At 35.3% G+C, this 12,713-nt stretch overlaps 1 long non-coding RNA gene across 6 annotated transcripts in view, besides 2 other annotated features; it reads right to left on the bottom strand.

Annotated features, from left to right (window-relative positions):
- Positions 1–12,713, bottom strand: part of MEF2C-AS1 (MEF2C antisense RNA 1) — a 584,252-nt gene that overhangs the window by 390,822 nt on the left and 180,717 nt on the right. The window lies entirely within an intron of this gene.
- Positions 4,512–4,561: a silencer, noted in NCBI's record as "silent region_16165". NCBI's record gives its function as "represses an Ori minimal core promoter by ATAC-STARR-seq in GM12878 lymphoblastoid cells {active_cell/tissue: GM12878}" and the evidence as "EXISTENCE:reporter gene assay evidence [ECO:0000049][PMID:35858748]".
- Positions 6,814–7,108: a silencer, noted in NCBI's record as "tiled region #5119; HepG2 Repressive non-DNase unmatched - State 24:Quies". NCBI's record gives its function as "represses a minimal TATA promoter and a strong SV40 promoter by Sharpr-MPRA in HepG2 cells {active_cell/tissue: HepG2}" and the evidence as "EXISTENCE:reporter gene assay evidence [ECO:0000049][PMID:27701403]".

The following is a 12,713-nucleotide window of genomic DNA, read 5'->3' as shown; positions in this document are numbered from 1 at the left end:
ACTCTGAAGCCAGTCTGCCTGAGTTTGGATTCCAACTCAGTCATGTCCTAGCTTTGGGGCCATAGACAAAGCCTAACCTCTCTAAATCTGTTTTCTCAGCAGAATGGAGATAATCACAGTAACTCCTTCAAAGAGTTACTTTAATATTAAATGAGATAACGTACACAAAGCACTTAGCATAGTACTTGGTATATGGTAAGAGGAAAACAAATATTACTCCAATGAAATTAATACGTAAATAGATTACATTTGTCCTAAATTCACTCATTATCTTGATTGCTATAGGTTAATTAGTACACTTCCCACTTTCATTCATTACTAATAATTGTCATTCTTGCCTGCTAACTTTTAGACTGGAACTTCCACCTTCAGCTTTCCTGGGTCTCCAGTTTGCTAACTGTAGGTCTTAGAATTTGTCAGCCTCCATAGCGTGTAAGTTAATTCCTTATGATAACCTCCCACCCCCTAACCTTTTTGTTTTCACTCTCGCTCTCTTTCTGCATGTGTTATATATATTTGCATCCTATTGGCTCTGTTTCTCTGGAAAACCCTAAATAATACAGGTGGGAATGAGGGCAAACTGTAGAGTGCATGCTTTGCTCCAGCTGATGGCTTTCTTGCAAGAATGGTGACCCAATGCTGCCAGATAATGTGTCAAAAGAATACAGAAATCAAAGAGTTTTACTATCTCAATTTTTAAATATTGGCAATAAAGTTAAATAAAGCATAAGCACATCTCATCAGCCAATCAAAACACGTTTAGAGACCACAGATATCCCAGGATCTCTCATTATTTACCTCTGCTTTAAATAGGAGCCATTCGAGTTTTCCTGAGCAAGATTATTATTTTTTGTTATTTTTATTTTTTGAGATGGAGTTTTGCTCTTGTTGCCCAGGTTGAAGTGCAGTGGCGTGATCTCAGCTCACTGCAACCTCCACCTCCCAGGTTCAAGCGATTCTCCTACCTCAGCCTCCGGAGTAGCTGGGATCATAGGCATGCGCCACCACGCCCAGCTAATTTTGTATTTTTAGTAAAGATGGGGTTTCTCCACATTGGTCAGGCTAGTCTCGAAACCCGACCTCAGGAGATCCGCCCCTAAGCAAGATTATTCTTATGTTAGCATATGGAAAGAAAGAAAAGAGAAGCATACAAGGGCTCAGAGACCAGTTAAGAGGTTCTTGCCACAATGGAAGTTCAAATGATAAAGTCCAGAATAGTGTTTTAATAGTGAGACTACAAAGGAAGGAACACCTGAGAGATGTAGAGGGAACAGACAAGAAGGAGGAAAGAAATTCACCATTCCAAGGATCAGGCTAAAGATTAGGCTGTTGGCAGAAGTATTCCTTCTCCTGGTGTTGCAACAGTGACTTACATTTCATTTCTTTGACCAAAAAAAAAAAAAAAAAAAGAGAGAGAGAGGAAAGTTTGTTCTGTGAAGTACATGCTTTTATTGAGGTAACACTAATTAATGTAATAGATATGCTTGGAAAGTTCAATAACCTAAGAAATAACTTCAGCGCTTACTCATATAACAGTCCTATATGGCTGTAGGATAAGTATGTTCTGCACAATGATTCAGGGATCTAGGCTTCCTTCTCTCGAAGCTACACCACATCATAGGGCCTCTGGGTCCTTCACTCAGTTCAACAGACAGGTAAAAAGCCTGGAGGATCAAGCAGAGAGTTTCTGATGAGCACCATCTGGAGGTAGAGCACATCAGATCTGCCCACCTTTTATGAGTAGAACTTCATCACAAGGTCATACCTTACTATCAAGGTGGAAGAAGAAAGAAATTTTATAAACAGCCAACCAGCTGGTCATACTAGTATAAGCATTTATCCTCCCTCTTTGAGCTCATTTTCTCAACTATAAAATGAAAAGTTTGGATTTGGTACTTTTTGAGATTCAATTTAAGTTTTTTACTATTTGAATAGAAGCATTTTAAGGCAATAAAGAAAACACTAGATGTGTTTTCTTTCCTCCATTTTAAAATCTATAGAAGGTTTTTTATTTACGAATTTTTTTCCATTGATTGTTTCATATTATAATACTTTCGTTAAGAAGATACTTTCCAATTACAGCTAGACTCAGCTTAGCCTTTGACAAATCATGAACCACTGCCATAAAAGCAACAGTGTTAATGAAATGTTATGACCTTCTTTGGTTAAAAAAATTCAAAGCCACATGATATATTAAAAGCATTGTATCCACTACATGGCAAAGCTGTTATTTTCTAGATACTTGGACTGAAACAAAGATTCTTTTAATGCTGATTTACAGCTGGATAACAAGAAATAAAAATCTCACTGGCCATCTCATAAACAGTCTCCTAGTTAGTGCTGATGGGTCACATCTTCATAACCATCTTAGTTCTGATCAGAGTGAAGGTCACCACATGGACCTGTCCTTTCTTTATACCCCTCTGAACCAAGTCCAAGATGTATTACTCTTGCAAAATGACTGATGCCACTAGTTTTAGGATGGCACTCCTCAAAGGTCTCCCTCCAGTCACTGTACTTTATCTGACTGTACATAATTTTTATCCTTGATGATGACTTTTTCCTTATTTAGCACATTAATATTCTGGCTTCTACTATATTTTCTTCCACTACCAGTCAGTAGACCACCCACTCTACTAATAGAAAGAAATCTTTTTTAAAAAACCTGTACCTTTGAATGATAGGACATTTATGGAATAATGTTATGTTTTTTTCTTAAGATAACACCTTATAACATTGTTTTAACTGATGAAAAGCAATGTTCAAATGATATATTTCATGACATTTTATTAGCAATTATCATAACACTCATCACATAAAATAGATCGACATCCCACGATATTTCCTTTCTGTATTTCTAGATGCCATAGGTATTCCTATAGTAATGACAGTGAGCATATATAAAAAGATAATGTATTTTTTGACTTTAATTAACACTGAATGAAATTATGCTATGAAGAAATAAAAGATGAACAGCTCTTTCTTTTCATTCTCTTGTTCTCTCTTGTTCATAACAAAAATAATTTATAATTTCAACTTTTCCTGCTGCTTCTCCAATATCCCAATTTTAAAACCCAATCAAAAGATGCCAACATATTCCAAAGTGAGAGAATGCTTTGGATTCTGTACTCCTCCTGTCTTCCTCATCTTTAAGGGATTTTAAGTCTTTTCTTTCCCAAGCTGCCAGTTATGCTGAATTGTTCTGAAATGTGAATGACTTTTTTGTGTAAATACGAGCTACCATCAACTACAGTAACAATGCGAACTTCACACTTGTCATTTACTAAAACCTGCCTTTTGAGCCCTGTCAGTCATGTGCCTCTACATGTGTGTTTCTTGGTTGGAGCAGCGTTGTTTTGTGGCAGCTTCTGTTTAGGAATTCATGTCGCTGTTTGGCATTTATGTAGTTCAGCTGTTAGAGAGTCAGGGTAAGAGGAAAGAAAACATGCAGGAGTGAAGGTTTCAGGGGCAAAGCAGGAAATAAGAAGGGGCTTTAGGTTATGAAATAACAATGCCAACCATGTGGCAGCAATAAACCACAGGAACAACCCCTCGGTTTAGGAAAGACACTGCGACGGAAGAACAGATGTAGCTCACACCCATGCTGCTGATGTGGGTGGCCAAGTGCTATTACAAAGGGCAAGTGTTGCATGAAATATTAGCAGTTACATTCACCTTTCAATATTTTTCATTCTTTACAACACTGAGCTTGATTACAATGTGTGCTACTGAGCTTGGATGTGCTTAAGGCGAAGACAAAGAGACTCTGGAAAAGAAGCATACGGATGAGAAGTTAATATTATACTTTGGGTTCTTACTAGAGTTGACAGAACTGTGCGTGATTCATAACGTGGGTTCAAATATGCCCAGAAGTTCAGATATTTATCTAAAATTTATCTGTATAAAACTGCATCCCTTGGGGCTCCTGCATTTTAATGAGAAAATAATAGGAGTAAGCTTTCTCTGGAGTTCTCAAACACTTTGAGCTCCTTATAAGTCTCAAATCACTAGGAAATCCTGAGTTTAGAGATTTGAGGTTCAGGGAGTAAGCTCTTTCGGAATATGTACACAAAGAGTAATGCAAATTAAATTTCACTCCTTTTCTAAATAACTCCAGAAAGGTAATATAGGTTCTCACTCTTGTGTAGCTGACATTTTCTATTTGTGCTTGCCAAAGAAAGAATGTAAATCTCTAGGGATTATTTGGAGGATGTGCCTTATAAATAGAAAGAGGTAAACAGATAGAAGTAAAATAAAAATGCATAGAAGTTAAAAAAATGTTTTCAAAAATCATTGCTTTCCCTCTATAGCTGCTCCCCATCTTTCATTAAATAATTTGTTTTGCAAGTGATGTATTAAAAATTTGTTTTGAAATCTACACTGTAAACAATTGTGTCTCTACTGCAATATGATACATTTAACACATCAGCAAAATATCAATACCTTATTAATATTTCAATATTGATATATTAATATTTTCAATTTTCTTAATAGAAAACTTCTTTAAAACAGCCAGACACAAATGACTGCAAGTAACTAAATGGTTACAGTCATACTTTAAGATATGAGCACAACAAGTATTTATAGCAGATTCTCATTCATTTCCAATTTCATGGGCGCACACACATGTATTCTGGTTTCATTTATACTCACCTATTTTTAGTTGAAAAAACCTCTCAATCTAATAAATGAAATGCTATATTCATTATGACTAAAATTATCTACACAGTGTAGTGTATGTGTACTGATAATGCCCAACAATAAGAATGCTTTGTATTTGTACACAATGAACAGTGCTCTTACACTTAAAATCTCTTCACCTATAATAAAAAAAAAAAACAAAACTGTCAGCCGAGGGTATATACAGCAATTTTCACACACTTATTGTTTCCTTCTTTTTAGTCATTTGCCAAACCAGAAGAAGGGTAAAATAAATTGCCTTTCTTTTCTCTTCTACACTTTAGAAGCTGTATTTCATCAGTTCTTTGTGCCTTCTAACTTTTAAAAAAAATAACAAAGTGGTTAACTTAGGCATCGAGTCAATCAACTTTTGGTTTCAAAAACTCAGCAATGTAACTATTATTAGATGACTAAGAAAAAAATACTAGGTGACTAAGTAAATCTAGTTATTAATTAACACCTCAATGCTTCAAAAAGAGATATGAGTTGGACATGAGACCAGGCAGTATTTCAAGCTTTATATTATGCTGTGCATGGCATGAAACTGCTGACTTTTCTTTTCTGAGAGGGCTGACAGTATATTTCTAACCTACTATTAGAAATAGCATCTTAGAAGATTTACTAAATGAATGCTACAAAAAAATAACAAATTAATATACAGCCATGGGTCTTACTTCTAAAAATGTTTTAAGCACCCATATGGGCAGCACAATAGCAATAATACAGAGATTAGCATGGCATTTGTACATGGACGATATGTAAATGTGTACAGTCATCCACATTTTTCAGTAGATACCAGCAGCCAGGGAATGTGGGTCAGCGTAAAGACTACAAAGGGGCACAGTGAAAGTTTGGGGTGGTAATGGAAATGTTCCATATCATGATTCTAGTAGTGGTAATATGACTGTATACATTTGTTAAAACTCATCAAATTGTACTCTCAAAATTGGTGAATTTTATTTTGTGTAAGTTATAGCTCAATAAAGCTGACAAAAAATGTTCTCAAATACTAAAAAAAAAATTGTGAAAAATATATTATTTCTCCCATCCATCCCATGTACTAAGTGGGGAAATAAAATTTCATGGAAAGCACCACACGTTCTCAATTATAAGTGGGAGCTGAACAGAGAGAACACATGGACACGGGAGGGGAACAACACATACTGGGGCCTGTCAGGGGGTGGAGTAGGAGAAGGGAGAGAGCATTAGGAAAAGTAGCCAATACATGCTGAGCTTAATACCTAGGTGATGGGTTGATAGGTGCAGCAAACCACCATGGCACACGTTTACCTATGTAACAAACTTGCACATCCTGCACATGTACCCCAGAACTTATAAGGAAAATAAAAATTAAAACAAACAAAAAGTTCATAAAAAACACAGGGACTTTCTCCTTCTATTCTTCTGTTTGAAGAATTCAGTCACGGCAGAAGCAGTCGGTTTTAAGTTAATTTATCAATCTCTGACAACCAAATAAAAATTCACCATATTTGGATACAGAAGTAATTATTTCAATGTAATATCTAATAAACTAGATATTAAACTAAAGCAAATGTTTAGAAAACATGTAAAATTGAATGATCAGTAATTGATAATGTGCTGCTTCTCAAAAGCAAACAAAATATATTGAAATCTTTTGCCCTTTTTTGATCAGATTATCAGATTTTTTTTCCTATTATAGAGTTGTTTGAGCTCCTTAGATATTCTGGTTATTAATTCCTTGTCAGATGGGCTTCATGGACTGTATGCTAAACTTAAAATTTAAAATATCATGTCCATAAACATTAAAATGAATAAAATTCTTCGGTCACTAAAAAAAGGAAACAAAATACTTTAAGAACAATATCTTTCCTCAAGGTAAATATTATTATTCGACTTTTGATCATAAAAATCTATTTTTCTTTCTCTAACCACTCATCAGATTAAAACTTAAAACAAATATATATGTTCACATGTTATGCACAGAAAATGTTATGTACAAAGAATATGTATATAGGACTGCGTCTGTCTCCAGTATATTCACAACAACAGAAGTTTTTGTCTTTTTTCTCTTTAGACTTTTTTTTTGCATGTCAATCTGATGAGATGGGAAAAATGAAGCTGGAAAAGAAAACAAAACTGAAGCTAAAGACAATAAAGAAGATTGATTAAACCCACATTATCAAGTAAGTGTCAATAGCAAGGAGCTACTGGGATCCTGCACTCTTTTTCTCTGAACTTTTAGCCTTATGTCCATCAAGCCTCAAGATAACTATCCATCATGGAGTCAACGTGGCGAACAACTGTGTGGTCCTTTGATAAGGGACAGTGTCACAATTTGTCTCCTTCTCTTCCCACAGATCACCACTAACAGGGCAAGGCCAGGCCACAACAGCTGCAAATAACCCAAAGACATTCCTTAGTGTAAAATAAATTCTCAGCAAAATTGTAGAACAGAAATCTAAGCAACCTTCAAAAATATCTAAATTCAATGATTATTTACTTGGATGTCTCATGTCAATTATATTTGTTCTTTTTCTAAATACCAGTTTTGATGAATCCAAGTTTTAAGTATAATTAAATAACAGGATTGTGATACATTAGAAATGTGCTGATGTTAACCATCCACTGACAGTTACAATGTAGCATGTACAAAATCTGAGTAATATTTAAAATCTGTAATTGGACTATGCTGTCATTTATGCAATGCCTACAAGGAGGTAATTCATGCATTTCGATGTATGATAGGACATCTATGTCACTTAAAAACAACACAATTTAGTAAAGTTCCAGCATACAAAATCACCATACAAAAATTAGCAGCATTTCGAAATACCCCAATAGCGAACAATCTAAAAAAGAAATCAAGAAAGCATTCCATTTACAATAGGTATAAAATAAATAAAATATTTAGGAATAAACTTAGCCAAGAAGGTAAGAGATCCCTACAATGAAAACTGTAAGATTTTGATGACAGAAATTGAAGAAGACATAAATGGAAAGATATTCTGTATTCATGAATTAAAAGAATTAATATTGTTAAAATATTGATATTATCTCATGGATCTACAGATTCAAGGCAATCTTCATCAAAATACCATGGTATTCTTCAAAGAAATAAAAAAAAATCTTAAAATTCATATGTAAATGCAAAATACCCTGATTAACCAAATCAATCCTGAGCAAAAAGAATGAAGCTAGAGGCATCACACTACCTGACCTCAAAATGTACTTTGAAGCTGTAGTAACTGAAAAAGCATGACACTGGCATTAAAAAGTGATAGCTATGGTAACTACCCTGATTTGATCATTATGCAATGTACACATGCATTGAAACATACACTGTATCCCATAAATATGTACAATTCTTATGTATTAATTATAAATAAGAATTAATTAATAATTTTTAAAAGAAGAGCTATACCCAGCCTTCCCTCCAAAAAAACTCTCAGCCTAATTAATGAAGAATGCTTAGTATCCTAGAAAATGACTATGGCATAATATTAAGAGAAAGAAAGAAAAACTTTAAAAATATTAGTTATGATTAAAATTATGTTAAACGGCCAGGCACGGGGGCTTACGCTTGTAATCCCAGCACTTTGGGAAGCTGAGGCAGGTGGATCACTTGAGGTCAGGATTTCGAGACCAGCATGGCCAACATGGTGAAATCCTGTCTCTACTAATAATACAAAAATTAGCCAGGCATGGTGGCACATGCCTGTAATTCCAGCTACTCTGGAGGATGAGGCAGGAGAATCGCTTGAGCCCAGGAGGCAGAGCTTACAGTGAACCGAGATTGCACCACTGCACTCCAGCCTGGTAGATGGAGTGGGACTCTGTCCCAAAAAAAAAAAAAAAAAAAAAAAAAAAAAAAAAATATATATATATATATATATATATATATATGTAAACATATACATGTTAAAAATATGTATATTTGTATAACATATATATGTTAAACATTCACAGAAAAAACTTAGAAGGCTACAAAGTATATCAATTGGTATATTAGAGTACTGAGATTATAGGCAATAATTTTTTCTCTATTTTATGATATTTTTCAGAAATTATTTTACTATTTCTTCACAGTTTTTTCTCTATACACTTGAAAACTTAGCAAGTTTATATTAGGGTTCCCTAAGATAGTGTCAGTAAATATTAGCTTTAAAATAAAGAGCTCTGTATCATCACCAATAGGGAAGAAGTCATCTCAAGCAGACTTGCGATTATCTTACCATGGGCCAGCAGATTTCTGCCTCTTGAGCAGGAAGCAGCTCTATTTAAGGGCAATGAGAAGAAATGCATTCTTAAGCGAGTGTTCTGAGGCCATGTGAGCTACTCTGAGTTCTTCCACTGGAATAGAATAGCGTGGAAATGAAGGAAGAGAATCTAAGATTTTGTATAATTAGTTCAGAACCTCAGAAAATACCCTAGTGTCACCAAGCAAAGGGTTTATTCTTTCCCACCCTGACCACATTTCTCCCCTTAAGCTATTTATTTAGTTAGTTAGTTGGTTAGTTAGTTAGTTAGTTAGTTAGTTAGTTAGTTAGTTAGTTATGACAAAGTCTCGTTCTGTCACCCAGGCTGGAATGCAGTGGCATGATCTCGGCTCACTGCAACCTCCACCTCCTGGGTTCAAGTGATTCTTCTGCCTCAGCTTCCAGAGTAACTGGGATTACAGGTGCCCACCACCATGGCTGCTCATTTTTGTAGTTTTAGTAGAGAAGGGGTTTTGCCATGTCGGCGAGGCTGATCTCGAACTCCTGACCTGAAGCGATCCACCCACCTCGGCCTCCCAAAGTGCTGGGATTACAGGTGTAAGCCACTGCGCCTGGCCCCCTGAAGCTATTTAGTTCATGAGTTCTTTTGCCTACAAATACGCTCTTCGGGTTCATTTTAGACTGATTTTATCTGTGTAAAAATATTTGAGTAGAAAACACTGAGTTTCCCCAGACCCCAAGTCCCTCTCTAGGAAGACACAGTTTCTTAATCCTTACATGTCTTCCAACATTCTCCAGTGGCCGTGTTGTCTGAAGTACATTTTGTTCCTCTTAGATACATCTTTGTGTATTAATTTTTACCAAAATACAGTCATGTGTCAGAGAAATACCGTTAGCTAGTATTATTTTCTGTTCACATTTTTATTGGGAGTGGACAAGGATGAGGTAAAATAAGACCTGTGAACAATGGGACAGTAGATGGGAATAGGGACCACCAAAAAGGAGGAGAAGTTTCCTTGAAGGCGAAGGGAGGAACCCAGCAAATGAAATCTTGCTTCAACCACCATCTGATTGTAGGTGAATCCTGTTGATCCTGGTTAAGAATGTGAACTTCAGAATCAGACCAACCTGGATTCAAATCCTGTCTCTACCACCTAGTAATTTTGAGATCATAAACAAGTTACCCACCCTGCCACAATAGTGTATTTCCTTCAGTGTCCCATAGGAAAGTAATATATACTTCATGAAAATATTTTCAGTAACAGACCAGGTAATTGCGTATTTAACCATGTATAATAAAAACTTCATAAATATTCATTACTATTCTCTTTATTTTCCCTTTTTGTTTTCTTCTGTAAATGAGGACCACATTGTACTCTCTAAATTCACATTTTCAATGAGTTTTCAAACTCTATTAAAAATATCTGATTACCATCACTGTCCCTCTTGATGGTCAGGACTAGATCTCCAAAAGCCATGCTGGCTTCTGAGGATTTTACCTCCTGTGTTGAGAAGATCAGGCCTGTGTTTTAGCTTTTTACGTACATGGCATGGAAATTCTACTCCTATGCTTCTTGGATGAGGAATTTAAACTGCCCATTCCATCCTAATCGGTTACATAATGTAATGAACCCCCCGTATGTGAGCTGTGTGAGAGTGGAGCCACATGCAAAGACCAGTAGAGAAATGGCTGTCTCATCACAAGCCCCCAGATGAGGCCTCTCAAATTCAGAGGGCAAAGCAAAGAGCCACAGACTCAGGAGTTCCCTTGAAGTTCAGTTATGAGTGTAATGAGAGGATCAGGACTGCCACGTCAGCAGACTGTCTTGAATCTAAAGGTTTGCTCAACCTGAAAAACTGCCAGAAATGTTGACTCTTAATTAGCCACACAAACTCCTTAAAAACTGAATAACAAAGAGATTCTAATTGCAGTGTCTTTAGTTTGTCATATATAAACTGTTTGGAAGTCCCAAATTCCAAAACATTATGAAAAAAAAAAACTTCCAAGTGTGTATGGCAAGATATAATTAAAGTGCAATGAAATTGGTGTTTTAAGAAAGGTATTTATTTTTGTTTTTTTAGCTCTATAGGGTTGAATAAAAATAGCCCTAAACAATAATTGTGATGTGTTAATTGCTTTATACCTTCTCATGAAGTCAGGAGAAGTTTTGCTCACTGAAGGACCGTAGGAGAGAGGCCTTTGCTGGAACCAAAAAATGCTACCAGTTATTCCAATTTGATGAGAAAATTAAGTCTGTATTATATGTAATAATAATACATAAGCATGCTCTAACAGCATTTAGCAATACAAGCGTTATTCCTAAGAGTATTTTTAAACATTGATAATTATGAAATTTAGTCTATTATCAAACAGAATGAAATTCCTAATATAAAAAATAAGAAAAATGTGTATCATTTTTTGCTTTGCATTTCAGAAGCCAACGAAGCAAAAATTATTTTCACTAAAGCTTTCCCATTCACAAGGAACTACTTCACACACATACACACACGTGCACACATACACACATACCCTAATACATGAATGTGTATGGCAGCATTTTACAGGATGCTAAGCATGTGATATATATGATAAACCATTGCTATGCCACAAATCTGGCCCTAAATTGTCATATGTGACCATTCAATGCAGAGAGGGTTTAGGATAACCCAATTTGAGAAAGCTACATTACAAGACCAGATTCTATTTTTAGGCTGGATTTTTTCTAAACAGATGTTGAAAACCCAAAAAGAGGATTTTTTAAGTGTTATTACTGGTAAGTTATTGCACCCTTAATGTGGTCCGTACTGTGGCAATAGAAGCTTCAGGAAAACATCTTTTCTTTCTGCCTCTTTCTCTCTTTAAACTTTATTTATAGCCTTGCAAAAGACTAGCATTCACATAACCCGCCTTTGCAGGCGTGCCAGAAGATTAATGATATCTCAGTGTTCTTGAGAACAAAAATGTGTCTACCACTGTGTTGAATAATCTCCCCTTTCACACATTAAAAGTGAGATGAGGCCTACTTTAGAAAGCAAGGACAATGTGTCACAATGAGTTACTTGGCTTAAAGACATACCCGTATTGCTATCCTGAATCACAAATTGTTTTCATGCATGTTATCTTGAGAATAAGAAAGCTTTTATCACCATCACTTTTTAAATTTTACATAGAGCCTCAAAATCTGACTTATTCCAGCATTTTTTTGTTTTACAATCTGTTGCTGGTGAGAATTGAGAATTTGGAGAAAGTTATTCATTATGACCTCTTATCTCTACTCTCCTCAAATTTGGCTAACAAGAATAAAAGCTATTTGAAAATTTAAATACTATAGATGTAGCAATTTTTGTTAAAGCTACCTTTTACCTAGTTTATAGTAATAATGACAACATTAACTCTACTTTTATTAAAATCTTACCTCATTCCATGAACCATTCTAAGTGTTTAACATACATTATCTCATTTAATCCTCATGAAAATCCTAAGAGGTAAATACTACTATTATTCCATTTAATGGAGGAGAGAATTTAGACTTACAGAGATATATGACTCACTCTAAATCGCCCTTGTAATAAGTGACAAAACCAAAACTCCAACTGTGGTTTGTGGGACTTCAATGTTACACTCTCAACAACTATGATATACTGCCTCTCTGGCTACATTCATTTACTATGGACCATTACACAGCCATGTGATACTTACAGAATGTTTACAATTTCCAGGCATTTCTTTGCCAGTGTTTAAGTACTTACCACATATCAGTGTCTACTATTGGTCTTCAGAATTATAAAAATGAGTCAAACACAATTCTTGCTCTCAAAGTGTAGTGGTACCAC

Source organism: Homo sapiens, chromosome 5 (assembly GCF_000001405.40).
Source record: "Homo sapiens chromosome 5, GRCh38.p14 Primary Assembly".
NCBI lineage: Eukaryota > Metazoa > Chordata > Mammalia > Primates > Hominidae > Homo > Homo sapiens.
Note: the sequence above shows the minus strand (reverse complement) of the source record. Positions and strands in the feature narration are given on the sequence as shown.